Here is a 12,937-nt window from a genome sequence, read left to right as displayed (position 1 = left end):
CAGACGCCCCAGGAGACCCCGCACAGCTTCTTGTAAACCAAGACAAGCCAGCCCTGGGCCTGGGGCTCCTCCCTGCACCCCACTTAGCCCTGCAACCTTCCAGCCCAACTACAATTCTCAAGATGAGGAGTCCATGAAAAGGAGACTGACAGATGACACTTTCCTCTGCCATGACTGACAGGCAGCAGCAAGAGGGAAGACCGCGGTACTGGACATCACGTGCGGGAACTGCCTCAAAGGTGGGGGCACCTTTCGGGCTGAGCTAACCCAGTCAACAGCAGACTGGAAAAAGACAAAGAACTGTGTGAGATGGTGCTCAAAACCAGAAAGATGAACTCTGCAATGACGACAAATGGATTCGGTGTGATGTGGGCGTGATACAGAGAAACATTCTTGAAGGTTCTGGAGCAGTTCATTTTTCTCAGAGCTGGTAAACTCATTGTTCGAATCTTACAAGCACTAGTGTTCAACATTTCTAAAACTGGGAGGGCCCAGTGAGGACTGGATGGGCACACAAATCTATAAACGAGCACAGACGAACCCTGGGCTGCTGTGACCGCCAGCACCTCTTCCCGTTCTTCCATGACCCTCCATGGCAGAGAATTCTTGGTGACGGGTCAGCCTGCTTCACTTTCAAAGCCAGCTGGGAAAATTACCAAAGCTGTCAGTCACACACCGTGATCCACAAGAGGGAGAAAACCTTGTTTGTGTGAGGAACGCCTACAGATGTGTCTCCAGGAAGCAGAAGTCACAGCCAGGCGGAGACCTTGCCTGACACGGGCAGCTCAAGGCAACAGCAGCTCCACCGCTTCTCCCTGGTTCCCAAGCTCATCAATTCCACCTCAAATACACAGAGACCCAAGGACAGGAGGCGCTGCTGCACCCAGCACTCTTCATCTCCGAAGTGAGCCTGCGGGGTGACCAACTGCCTTGCATGGACGGACAGCTGGCGGAAGAGCCTGCAACGTGACCTGCATTTACAAACATGAGGAAACCCACTCACCTTCAGTTGTTACTCCTTTCATGAATTCTTTTGGTTATAGCTGTGCCTATGGCTTTACGGGCTTCACCTGATAAATGGTCTTCTGTACTATGGACAATTTGGACCCGTAAACCTGGCCTTGAACTAGGTGACACTGAAATGTTACAGACAAATCAGAACGTCACATTCCCTTTAAATATTCCCCGCACACATGCACCAGGCTGACTGGTGGATACTGGGGTGTGAAATGAGAGAAACAGCCCCCACTGTGCAGATGTGGGGACATGATTATTATCAATTAACCACAGGCTGCACCTCAGCTCCTGCACACCAGGTGCCTTGTGCCGGTGGCTCTGTAGCATGGGCCTGTTTATCTTCAAAGCCATTTTGTGGCTTCTGGAAAAGGCAAACAAGCTCAGGACATTGTATCTCCAAAGAGCACATCTCTTAAAAGATTCTTGCCATAGCTAGTTACACCAAAGGCCCATTCAAACCCCATGTTCTACTTTAACAGAAGTGAAAAACCACAAGCAAAGATGGCATTCCAAAATAAGGCAGAATATCTAAGACAGGAAGGCCATGTGTGCAAGGATGGTGTGAGCCTCCAGACTGTAGTGTGGGAGCTCACACTGAAGCATTCCTGGTGATGCCCACCTCCACTAAGAACTACCGTGCTGCCTTCTGACCCGTGAGGCTAATGGACTGGCACAGGTGTGTGAACATCAAGAACACTGTGACATGCCACTGCCACATAGGGAGGAGCAGCAGGTGAGGAGAGGCCTTCCCTGTTCTCTGATACCCAACAAACATGCAAGCTCTCAACGCCTCGCTCCATGATGCCCGCTGCTCAGCTTCTCTGCATGGGCAGTTTCTGAATTTCACCTCAGGCCCTTGAAGGGGTCAGTCTGAGTCCTTTCCAAGAACCCTACAACTGCCTTCCACTCATGAAGACGCTCATGGCCCTGAAAGCATGGTAGCCACCCAGAATCAGACACCTGTAGTTATCTCCTGCCTGGGGCTCTGGCAGGTGGTGGTGGGTGTCAGGCTGACTGGTGGATACTGGGATGTGCTGGCGTATTCCCTCTGTTTTTAATATGTTTGGAAAATTTCATTAAGCAAAAAAAAAAAAAAAAAAAGAGTAATTACTTAGGCTATTAAAATCAGTTTAAAATCATGCAGTGGGTAGCTCAAAAGTTCTACTTCCTTCACACCAAGGAAATTAGTTTATGAAACATTAAGTGCCCCAGTCAAGAGAGCAGCCGATAGGTTTCAAATTAAACACACCAAGTACAGATTTACAAACTAAAAGGGGCAGCACTGTCAGAGTGAGAGGAGAGCCAACTACAGTTCCAAGAGGCGAGCTTTCTTCTGTCCTTCCATTCCAAGATATCAACTTTCAATACAAATGCATCAGTATTTGTTATTAAAATACCCTTAGGAAAAAAGAGAGCTTCCAGATAACAGTTCTGAGAAAAATGTGAAAACTTTTACTGTTACATTAAGAACAGGTGGTAGAAGCAACCTATTCCGCACTTCTCAAAAGATACAGAGGGGCACATATGCCACACTGGAATAAAGAATACAGAATCAAACATGTACAAAGGTACCACAGCAGGTTATGGTTCATACAGGACTTTAAATGACCCATGTTGACAATACAATTTGCAAAAAATATGAGAAAAGCAATACATATTTCTGAAACAAAAACATACCTGTTGTAAAAAACAACACGCGTAGTATCAGAATAGAACAGTTAACAGAGCAGCAGTTACTGAAGACAGACGGCAACAGGCAGCTGCGCCAGCCATGGGTCTGCCATGCGGCTACACCCATGAGGCCCTATTGTGAACAACGCAACGTTCTCCATCAGCGGGGAAGCACACAGACTGCTTGGCCACCAAGCTTTCCGCCTGGTCTGTTCATACTGAGATTTAGCAGTAACAGCCCAGAAGGGAATGCAGCTCCCCGCTCCCTATGACATCAATGTCTTCAACACATGTGTAAGATTCTTTCTGGAGCCCCTAGCTCCTCCACTCTTCAAAACTAACAACGCAGAGAAAGAGAAATAAGAAAGCAAAGACATCACATTGCCTTAGAAAAGCTGTCCTCAACTCATCTTCTCTACATGTTTTCAGATCACGTCCTGACGGAATGGAAGGAGCAGCTCCACCTCCCCGAGGCTTCCGTGGACTCCGCACACACACGACCACCAGTCTTCAGTCATGTGCCATGGAGACTTTGGTCCCAACCAGTGTCTGCCTTTTCTAGAAACTGGAGACCCTGATTCAAATGGCAAGATGTGTTAGTTCCCATTTGCCTTGCAATAACCCTATGCTTCACAAAGATTCCAGACTAGGGGTTATTCCTCACCCAATTTCATGCATCTGGAACACAGAGTACCAGAATACTCTCACATTTTATTTCAAGGCACTCTCCAGCAGAAAGTATAATAAGAATAAACTACTTTGTAAAATGTGCCATTTTTATAAAGACAACAGTGAGATCCAAAATGAGACAAAGTAGAATTATACTGAATGTTCATTATCCCAAAGTGGCTTAATTTCATTTGCTTGCTGCAAAGACAAAGACTGTAAAAAGGAGCAAAGAAAGTGTGCAAAGCACTTCCTTGGAAGACCTCGTCCACTAACAGATCACAAGAAAAGCAAGTGCAGCCCCTCACACGAAAGGAAGGCAGGCAGTAACATCGGAGACTTCCCAGTCTCCCCGACGTCTGCTCACGCTGGATGCTGGCACTGGCTTATCATGAAGGGAAGGAGAGCAGTAACGCTGGAGACTTCCCAGTCTCCCCGACATCTGCTCATGCTGGATGCTGGCACTGGCTTATCAGCTACCCACTGGCTGAAATGGAAATCAACACCAGCACTTCACGTGACAGCCACATAGTGACAGTCCAGGCACGTGAATGACCCCATTTGTGTTCCCCTAGTTTGTGGAGAGACTTCCTATTGCTGTGCTTCTCACACCCTCTAGTTTTAAGAATATGTCAAATTGATGATATATTATGCAAGTAAACGATCTTATATACACGAATAGTGAAAGGTAATTAGGAATATGCTGAATCACCTGGTGCTGTTGAAGAAAACGTGCAGATGCATCTCTCTCACCTCACCGCTTTCTTCTAGCTTCTGCTATATTTCATCCCCTATTAGTTACTCTCTTTCCCTCCAACTTATCTTCATCCTCAAACCTCAGAGGAAATAATCGCAAGGGTCACATCTGGGAGAGTGGTAGTTGGAAGGCAGCATTTCTAGGGGGTAGGGAAGCACCACCTCCCCAGCACCGCATCCTTACAAAATCTAAAGGGCAACCAATGGGTCAGTCTGGAGGCCGCCATGCTTCTGTAACAACCGCAGCAATTTTATCTTTGCATCTCTTACTGGATTATATAAGCCATCTAGGTAAAGTAAACACTGCCAAAAGCTCCTACCCACTGGAAAGAGAAGTAGAGGGCTTGAAAACACAACTTCGCCAGGCTCCAACACAGAAAGAAGCATCATTCAGAGGCGAGAACAATGCTGTGGACGCCTCCTGATCAACACTCAAGGGATGCAGGAGCTCGGTGAGGACGGTCCCTCAGAGGCAGATGACCCGACCGGCTCAGGTACTGGCAAGCTGGCCACCAGACCTAGACCATGCTTGTCGAGATGCCTTGCTACTTGAGAATAAGGCGAGATCCCAGATTCAAGTGCTAGCAGCATTCTGCCCCTCAGATGCGCCGGCAGGCTCCACTGGCTCCAAAGGACGCCCTTGGATGGGTCAGCAATTCCACGAACATCCACTAAACCAACACTTAGCACTGCTCAGTGGGGTCAACAGTGCCCGGTGGTCCGCTGCAATGAATCCAAACACATCTGTGCCCAGAGCTACAAGGCCATGTGCCCATCAACTGTCCCGACTCGCAGGCAATGCACGCAGCCCTGCACCACTTCCCTCCTGCCCACCACGGAGCAGGGGACAGTTCTGTGAGTGAACAGAAGCAGGACATCGGCAGAGCCAGCTGACGATGGAGGATGAGATGCTGCCGAGATGCTGGAGGGCAGATCACTGAGGATGAACACGCGTTCCTTCCGCCAACAGTCGTGCACCACCTGCTGGGGCTCTGCGTCCCCACCGGCCAAGGGCTGCCTCGCTCTAATGAAGGCCGCTCACTCAGCACAGGGCCAAGTGGCCTTTCCAGCTGCAGGTACCAGAAAAAGCCACTGCCGCTATCACAGGGGGAAGAACGCCCCAAAGACAAAAGGTCATTTGAGATGATTAACATCTTTTAGAGGCCATTTTGGTCATTCTTGAAATCAAAGAGAAACCTTTATTTTCAACAAAACTGCCCAGAAGAGATGGTTCATTGATCCACTAGGAACAAGTCTCTTACCACACACAGCACCAAAATATATATTTAAAAAATTAAAAAACACATAGCCCCCTCACACGCATCCCCCAAAAGCCACACAACCCAGACCAAAGGGAAAACAAATCAAACTCAATGCCCTCACACATGAGCCATCTTTGAATTAGGATTTACAAATTTATATATTCTTTCCTATGGAAAAAGAAAAAAAAAAAAACACAAAAACCACAGGGGTAAGGAAAAACTTGTAGGTGAAGGCCCAATGTCTGCCTAAGCTAACAGAAAGCAGAATCATGATTCGTGCTTTTCCTGTATTTTGAGTGGGATGCAGCCTAACAGCACAGCCCTCCGTGGTAGACCGAATCCTTCAGCAGCCAGAGGCCCCCGAACACTGGAAGAGCAAACCGCAACCTTCCAGATTCTTCAGCGAGTGCCAGAGTGCAGGCTCTGCATCAGACTGCCAAAGAGACGGCAGCTTTCCTTGCAAGTTTTCCACTGCCTACAAAGGCCATTTTTCCCTATAAAAAGATGCCAGGTCAAAAAAAAGTACAAGGGAGAAAAAGAGTTCTCTACTGCAGTAAGAATCTTGCAGTCGCAGGCTGATCTGAGGCAAGTCCCACGACGCAGGGCTGGTGTTGGATCCACCACGCAAGCGCAGGCGCTACTTGGGCTCCTCAATCACACCCTTGCTGAGGTCTGTCATTTTGGGATATTTTACTTTCTTCTGGTCCAGCTCGTTCTGAGCCCAAAGTAGTAGTTTCAGTAATTTTGCCAGTTTGGGTGTTGACTCGCGATTTTCATAATCTAGCACAGCTTGGTTAACTTCACTCCACACCTAGAATATAAATACATCTGATAAAAACCACCATACACGCAGAGCACCAGCAGAGTCTATTAAAAAGAGGCAGTTTAAACAAACATTAAGCTCTTAACTGCGAGACACTCTCAGGACATGAAATACATAGTCCTTGCCTGGGGAAGCTCACAGTCTGGTTGTTAAACGTCACATGCAACCTCGATGGCAGTTAAGTGCCATGAGCAAGCCTTGAACAAAGTGCTGAGGGGACTGGGAGAGAGGTAAGACCAGCGTAGCAGGACATACCAGCACCCTCCTCACAAGCCTCAAGAAAACATCTCAAGTGGACTCTAGGACAGGCCATCCTTCCAAGACAGCGTAGGGAGGACAGAGCCCCCGGGAGAGGACCCGGGGGAAGAGGGACCTGGGTCTGGGAAGGCGAGGAGCTGTCATGTTCTGCCAGACAAAAACATAGCAGCGAGGAGAGAAAAGTTTCAGAAGACAGGATTTTAAATGAGAAATACTTGGGACATAAACAGAAAGAAGGTTCAGATAAATATAAGACACCAGCAAAGGGTGTGAATACTGTGTAACGATCACCAAGTCCGTTGTCCCTAGTTTGACAAGATAAAAGATTAAAAGCCAGAGAGAGGCTGAGCATGATGGCTCACACCTGTAATCCCAGTACTTTGGGAGACTGGATCACCTGAGGTCAGGGGTTCAAGACCAGCCTGGCCAATATGGTGAAACCCCATCTCCACTAAAAATACAAAACTTAGCTGGGCGTGGTGGCACACTCCTGTAGTCCCAGCTACTTGGGAGGCAGAGGCAGGAGAATCGCTTGAACACAGGAGGCGGGGGTTGCAGTGAGCAGAGATCTCGTCACTGCACTCCAGCCTGGGCGACAGAACAAGACTTCACCTCCAAAAAAAAAAAAAAAAGCCATGAAGGAACCACTTAGCATCCCAGGCACAGAAGCCACCTGTCTCTCAGTCCACACAGCAAAGCCACACACTTGGCGTTGTCACGAAGCCCCCTCAGAGCACATGGGGAATGGAAGAAAGCTTCCCTCTGGCAGGCCCCACCTTCTGCCTCTGCATGGTGTGGAGGAGGTCTCCGAAGGGCGACTCCTCGGGACTGTCAAAGGCCAGCAGTGCCAGGGTACGCTCCATCTCTGTGAGGCACTCTCGGCTCTCCTCGCCCTGCTCCGCCAGCTGAGTCTGTGCAAACTCCAGCGCCGCCTCTGTCTCCCGCTGGCGGATCAGCTCGATCAAATGCTGTTGCTGGAGGCAGAGACAGACAAGCTTGACCCCCACACACCCAGGCCAGGGACTTAGGGCAGGTGGTACCAGGTCCCAATCAAAAGTACATCACAGAGGGAAGACTTTTCTTGCATCTCTGAGTTATCAAATTTGCATTTTTAAAACAAAAAACCGCTTCTGAACTACATAAAAGAGCAAACTCAAACCTCTCCCCCTCACATGCATTGAAATAACATTATTAAAGCAAATTAGCCTAGTTATTTCTCAATCATTGCAAATAACTTTAACTTATCAAGTATTCACAAACCAGACTACTCTCTCCTGAAACATACCTGCAAATGGAAGTAAAGATACCGGTTTGTGTCCAAGAGCTCTGGGTGGAGGCTGTTGATCAAGGCGATGGCCTCCTGAATCTGACCTTTCAGTATCATCTCCCGGATCTTGATTCGTTCATCAAGTGTTTCCAGATCCACACTAGGTTCGATTCCAGATTCCATTCGAAACTTCTCCGCTGCTTCCTTAAAGCCCTCTGAATAGAAAAACCATCTTCACTGCTAGGAAAGTTAGCAAGGAATTAAGGCAAAGACTTTGTATCTCCAGAAACTCCAATTGCCTCAATTAATAACCTCTGATGTGAACCACACTTTCTCAGGAACTCGGTATTAATATCTTTATAATTTACAAGTTATGCTCTCAAAATACATATAGAAAATGAGAAGAGTATACTTCATTCCTTGTTATCCCATCCAAAAACTCTAACCCATTAGCCAAAGAGGTCAGAATGGCTGCTGGCCCAGTGTGTTGGTGTGGGCTCCTTTGAGAGGACAGATAATAGGTCCAGACGCCAGCAGCCGCAGCTCTGGTGCCAGGTTAGGCAAGTCACACTGGCTCAGCCTCCACAGCACAGGGGCCCTCCATGGTCAGCTATACCTGCAGTGGCCTGTTGACTCCCACCTCTTAAGAGTGTCTACAATTTTTCAAAGCCAGCATGTGTGCCCCTTCCCCTGCCCCTGACATAATTATAGGCCTAAATTTCCTCTTCACCTTCCAAAAATATTTTTTTTGAGATGGGGTCCCACTCACTCTCCCAGGCTGGAGTGCAGTGGCACAATCTTGGCTCACTGCAACCTCCGCCTTCCGGGCTTAAGTGATCCTCCCACCTCAGCCTCCCAAGTAGCTGGGACTACAGGCACAAGCCACCACATCCAGCTAATTAACATTTTTTTTTTGTAGAGACAAGGTCTCACTATGTTGCCCAGGCTGGTCTGGAATTCCTAGGCGCGAACAATCTTCCTCTGTCTCTCAAAGTGCTGGGACTATAAGCATGAGCCACCATGCTTGGCCCAAAAAAGTTTCACAGAGATTAATTTGGGAGAAGGAACTGGGGACTAACAGGAGGGAGATTTTTCATGTCATGTCTTTTAAAAACATCTATTTTCTTGCCATATACAGCACTGCCCTTCCTCCAGTTGACATCAAGAACAGCCTGACTGTTATTTCCCTCTGCACGCTTCTGCTCTTCCCCATTCCCATCCTCTGAGTTGGGCATACTTTCCAGAAACAGGCCAGCATATTTTTGCAGACTGGCCAGAAGAGATCAACTATTTAGGCTTTCAATATACTTACTTCACAACAGTCTCAATTATTTTGAGTAACTGTAAAACTGTCAAAGGCTGAAAAATGGGTTTGTGTTAGGTCTCAGAGACCTGGAAAAATCTCATCTTCAGAAAAGGCTTTCACATGATAACTTCCAAACTTACCAGGTTAGCATTGTGTTTTCATAATGTCTGAACACAAATAACTACGTCATCAAACCTCAGTGCTACAGCACTCCTTATGTGTTCAAAAAGGGAGAATCACATTCATGCAACAGCATCCTCACTGTAAGCCATTACCTGTGACCAGGTAGTTCATGATGAGGCGGTTCATGTCTGCTCTCTGGACATGCAAGTTATTGAGCTTTTCCATCCACTCATCTTTCGTGATTTCATCGGGTTTTTCTGCATAACTCATTCTGATTTATTTCTACAGGAAAAAAATAACAGCTGAGGGAGGGGTTTAGATGCTCCTCCAAGGGCAGAGGGCAGCGCTGGAAGAGCTGTGAGCCGGAGAATCCCACACTGAGCATGTACGGAAAGACAACGCTGCCGTGGGACACCCACCAGACTGAGAATGCCAATGCTTAGCAAAGAATAAGTTCACTTCAACTTTTTCTACTCTGGTATCAGGAGAACGGACTGTGCTACAAAAACAATCTGGTACTCCTTACAAAGCTGAACATGTGTGCTCCTCACAACCCAGCAATTCTACTTTTAATACATTTATATTCTAGAAAAACTCACCAGGATGCACCAAACACAGACAACGCTGTTCACAGAAGCACCGTTCAAAGCGGCAGGAATGTGGAAGCCACCCACCTGAGCGTTCATTCAACAGCAGCGTGGACCAAGGGACTGTGGCGCACAGAACTGCATGTTTAAAACCCTTGGGCAGATGGGTTTTGGAATTCAGAATTCTTCAATGTACAACGATTATTTGGCACAATTTACCATGTAACAGCCTCACTGGGGTTTGGGGGCACTCCCCATCATCAGACGTTATTTCTTCACTGAAATGTGTTAGGTATCTATACTAAGTGGTAGAGGCTATTAAACTTTACCTGGTGAGGTTTTGGCCACCAAATAGGTTAAAAACAAAACCAAAAACTGTGGTTTCAGAGATGTTTAGATTTTTAGCATTGCTGAGAAGGGACTGTGGTCATGTATTCACACAAGAGAATTTCATAAAGCAGTTAAAATAAATGAACATGACACAAAGTCACCTGGATGACTCTCATAAAACAATGCTGAATGAAAAAAGAGAGTTGCGGCCGGGCGCGGTGGCTCACGCCTGTAATCCCAGCACTTTGGGAGGCCGAGGCGGGCGGATCACAAGGTCAGGAGATCCAGACCATCCTGGCTAACACGGTGAAACCCCGTCTCTACTAAAAATACAAAAAATTAGCCGTGCTCGGTGGCGGGCGCCTGTAGTCCCAGCTACTCCAGAGGCTGAGGCAGGAGAATGGCGTGAACCCGGGAGGCGGAGATTGCAGTGAGCCGAGATCATGCCACTGCACTCCAGCCTGGGCGACAGAACAAGACTCCGTCTCAAAAAAAAAAAAAAAATTTGCCGGGCATGGTGGCAGATGCCTGTAATCCCAGCTACTCGGGAGGCTGAGGTAGGAGAATGGCGTGAACCCGGGAGGTGGAGCTTCTAGTGAGCCGAGATGGTGCCACTGCACTCCAGCCTGGGCGACAGAGCGAGACTCCGTCTCAAAAAAAAAAAAAAAGAAAAAAAAGAAAAGAAAAAGAGAGTTGCAGGAGAGGCCAAATCTGCCGTGAGTTTTATCAGGAACAACAAGACAAAATACATGACATGTGCTTTAGCAACAAATATGTACGTGGCAAACCTATTTTGTTTGTTTTTTTTTAAATAAGGGCATGAAAGCTGACACTCAGGAGGGGGTTACCTGTGGGAGGGGCAAATGGCTGAAGCCCCAGAGGCAGCTGTTCCGGCTTTGGGAGAATGGGTGGATACCTGAGACAGGCAGGGGCACGCCACCGTCCACTCTGTCTTTCTCTTTTGCCACTGATACATACGTTACACATACTACTTTATACGAAGTACTGCTAAAGTGTTTCAATAAATTAAAAAACTTTGGTCTCTTGGCTGAAAATGGGATGAATGCAGGGTGGTGAGATCTGAGCAGCCAGTCCCTTAGGGAGACACCCAAGCGAGAGAGAACATCGGCAGAAGAGATGGAGAGCAAGGTGAGATCAAGATGCTTTGGCCAGAGTCAATGGCTGCTGCTAGACAGATTACCGGACAAAAGAGAGGGAAGAATAGAAGATGGTCACAGGTTTCAAGCATGAGAGGCCCTGCAAGATGGGGCCACAAATAAGGAGGAAGGACTGGAAGAAGAACAGGTTTGAGAAGCAGGGCAAGTTTGACGTGACTATTAGACATGCGTCTGGAGAAATCAAGCAGGTGTCTGAATTACAGATCCTGAGCTCAGAGCTGAAAACATGAATTAGTGAAATAAGGGGCGGGGGGGGCGGTGCTGGGGCACAGGGATATTTAAAGCCAAGAATTCAGCAAAGACCATAGGAAGAGCGTAGATAGGGAATGAGAATCGCCATTACTTGGAGGATGCCAACCTTGAAGGTAAAGCAGAGAAAGTGGCACCAGCAGAAGAAAACTTGATGTGGAGCGGCAGGTAAAGTGGAGGAGAAACCAGGAGTCGCTGTCACACACGAACACCCATCTTTCGTTGTCAACTGCAAAACTCACTGAGACCAACTTTTTATTCACGACAATTAATGGTAACTTAAGGACTCATTTTCTTTTTCTTTTTTTTTTGAGACAGAGCCTCGCTCTGTCGCCCAGGCTGGAGGGCAGTGGCGCGATCATGGCTCACCGCAGCCTCGACCTCCTGGGCTCAAGCGATCCTCCCACCTCAGCCTCCAGAGTAACTGGGACAACAGGAGCGCACCACTCTGCCTGGCTAATTTTTTTATTTTTAGCAGAGAAGGGAGTCTCGCTGTTGCCACGGCTGGTCTCGAACTCGCGGGCTCAAGTGATCCGCCCACTTCGACCTCCGCCACCGCGCCCGGCCCTAGGACCAACGTTAAGAGCTCCCTAGGAAAAGGCACCTTTTCTCTCGGCCCATTCGGTGATCGGCACTCACAGCGCTTCCACTCCGGGCAGTTACGTGCGCCCATGAAAAGCAACAACTTTGTAGAACTGGCCAGTCCTGTTAGCAGGAAGAACTCGGTAGTCTCAAACTCCAGCATAAAAAGATTCAGCAGAAGAAAACACCCGTGTGCTGAAGACTCCTACTTTCCATGCCACACTTTACATCCTCACCCGCTCGGTTTCTGCTTTAAAGCAGCAGATTTTATTAAAAAGACTTCGTTACGGACGTCGCTCCTCCACAGAGACAGCTACCGCCGCCCCTCAGGCTGGCCGGGACCGCCCCAGAACACCAGCGCCTGAGGCCGCGCGCCTGGAGGCTGAGCCCTGACTGCCCCCTGGGCACCGGCGCGGGGCGGCCGTCCGGGCCTGGACTCACTGCGCGCCCCAATTCCGCACCTGCCAGCGCCGGCGCTTCCAAGGCCCCCAGAGCGGGGGCGGCGCGCACCCCGGCCACATCCCGCCTGCCCGCCCGGCCCGGCCCCGGGAGACGCTCGGCCCGGCCGCCCGGGCCCGCCGCCGCCATCTTACCGTGCGGAACCTGCCTCCCGCGCTGCGCGGTCTGGGCGGCTGCGGCTCCGCAGCCTCTCCTGGGCTGGGGAGAGGTGGCGGCCGCCGGGGCGCCCGAGTAGAAGGAGGCAGAGGTGGGGGCCGCGGCGGAGGCGGGGGCGGGGGCGGGGGCGGGGAGCGGGAGGGCAGGCGCACCGGAGGCCGCCCCTCAGCACCTCTCGCGACAGCAAGAGAGCGCGAGAGCGCGAGCCGATGACCAATGAAGCGCCCCCGCGAGGGGGCGGGGCGGA

General features: G+C 49.2%; 1 protein-coding gene across 3 annotated transcripts, besides 4 other annotated features; it reads right to left on the bottom strand.

Moving 5' to 3' along the window:
- On the bottom strand, window positions 2,447-12,775 carry GID8 (GID complex subunit 8 homolog). 3 transcript variants are annotated; one of them, XM_047440247.1, is made up of 6 exons: window positions 12,669-12,775; window positions 12,098-12,198; window positions 9,302-9,431; window positions 7,739-7,935; window positions 7,230-7,427; window positions 2,447-6,183 (listed from the first exon to the last, which is right to left on the bottom strand). In XM_047440247.1, the coding sequence occupies exons 3-6, from the start codon at window positions 9,417-9,419 to the stop codon at window positions 6,010-6,012; spliced, it is 687 nt and encodes a 228-aa protein (XP_047296203.1). In that variant the 5' UTR covers window positions 9,420-9,431; window positions 12,098-12,198; window positions 12,669-12,775; the 3' UTR covers window positions 2,447-6,009. The 3 variants fall into 3 exon arrangements, with proteins under 3 accessions (XP_047296203.1, NP_060366.1, XP_047296202.1); NM_017896.3 differs by lacking the exon at window positions 12,098-12,198; XM_047440246.1 differs by having other exon boundaries at window positions 12,098-12,675.
- Window positions 12,041-12,709: an enhancer, noted in NCBI's record as "H3K27ac-H3K4me1 hESC enhancer chr20:61569565-61570233 (GRCh37/hg19 assembly coordinates)". NCBI's record gives its function as "activates a minimal SCP1, AML or CMV promoter by ChIP-STARR-seq in naive H9 embryonic stem cells {active_cell/tissue: H9 hESC(naive)}" and the evidence as "EXISTENCE:reporter gene assay evidence [ECO:0000049][PMID:30033119]".
- Window positions 12,041-12,834: a biological region, named in NCBI's record as "H3K27ac-H3K4me1 hESC enhancer GRCh37_chr20:61569565-61570233".
- Window positions 12,405-12,534: a silencer, noted in NCBI's record as "silent region_13137". NCBI's record gives its function as "represses an Ori minimal core promoter by ATAC-STARR-seq in GM12878 lymphoblastoid cells {active_cell/tissue: GM12878}" and the evidence as "EXISTENCE:reporter gene assay evidence [ECO:0000049][PMID:35858748]".
- Window positions 12,605-12,834: a silencer, noted in NCBI's record as "silent region_13136". NCBI's record gives its function as "represses an Ori minimal core promoter by ATAC-STARR-seq in GM12878 lymphoblastoid cells {active_cell/tissue: GM12878}" and the evidence as "EXISTENCE:reporter gene assay evidence [ECO:0000049][PMID:35858748]".

The sequence above is a fragment of the Homo sapiens genome, chromosome 20 (assembly GCF_000001405.40).
Source record: "Homo sapiens chromosome 20, GRCh38.p14 Primary Assembly".
NCBI classification, from domain to species: domain Eukaryota; kingdom Metazoa; phylum Chordata; class Mammalia; order Primates; family Hominidae; genus Homo; species Homo sapiens.
The sequence above is the reverse complement of the archived record's forward strand: the minus strand, read 5'-3'. Positions and strand labels throughout refer to the sequence as shown.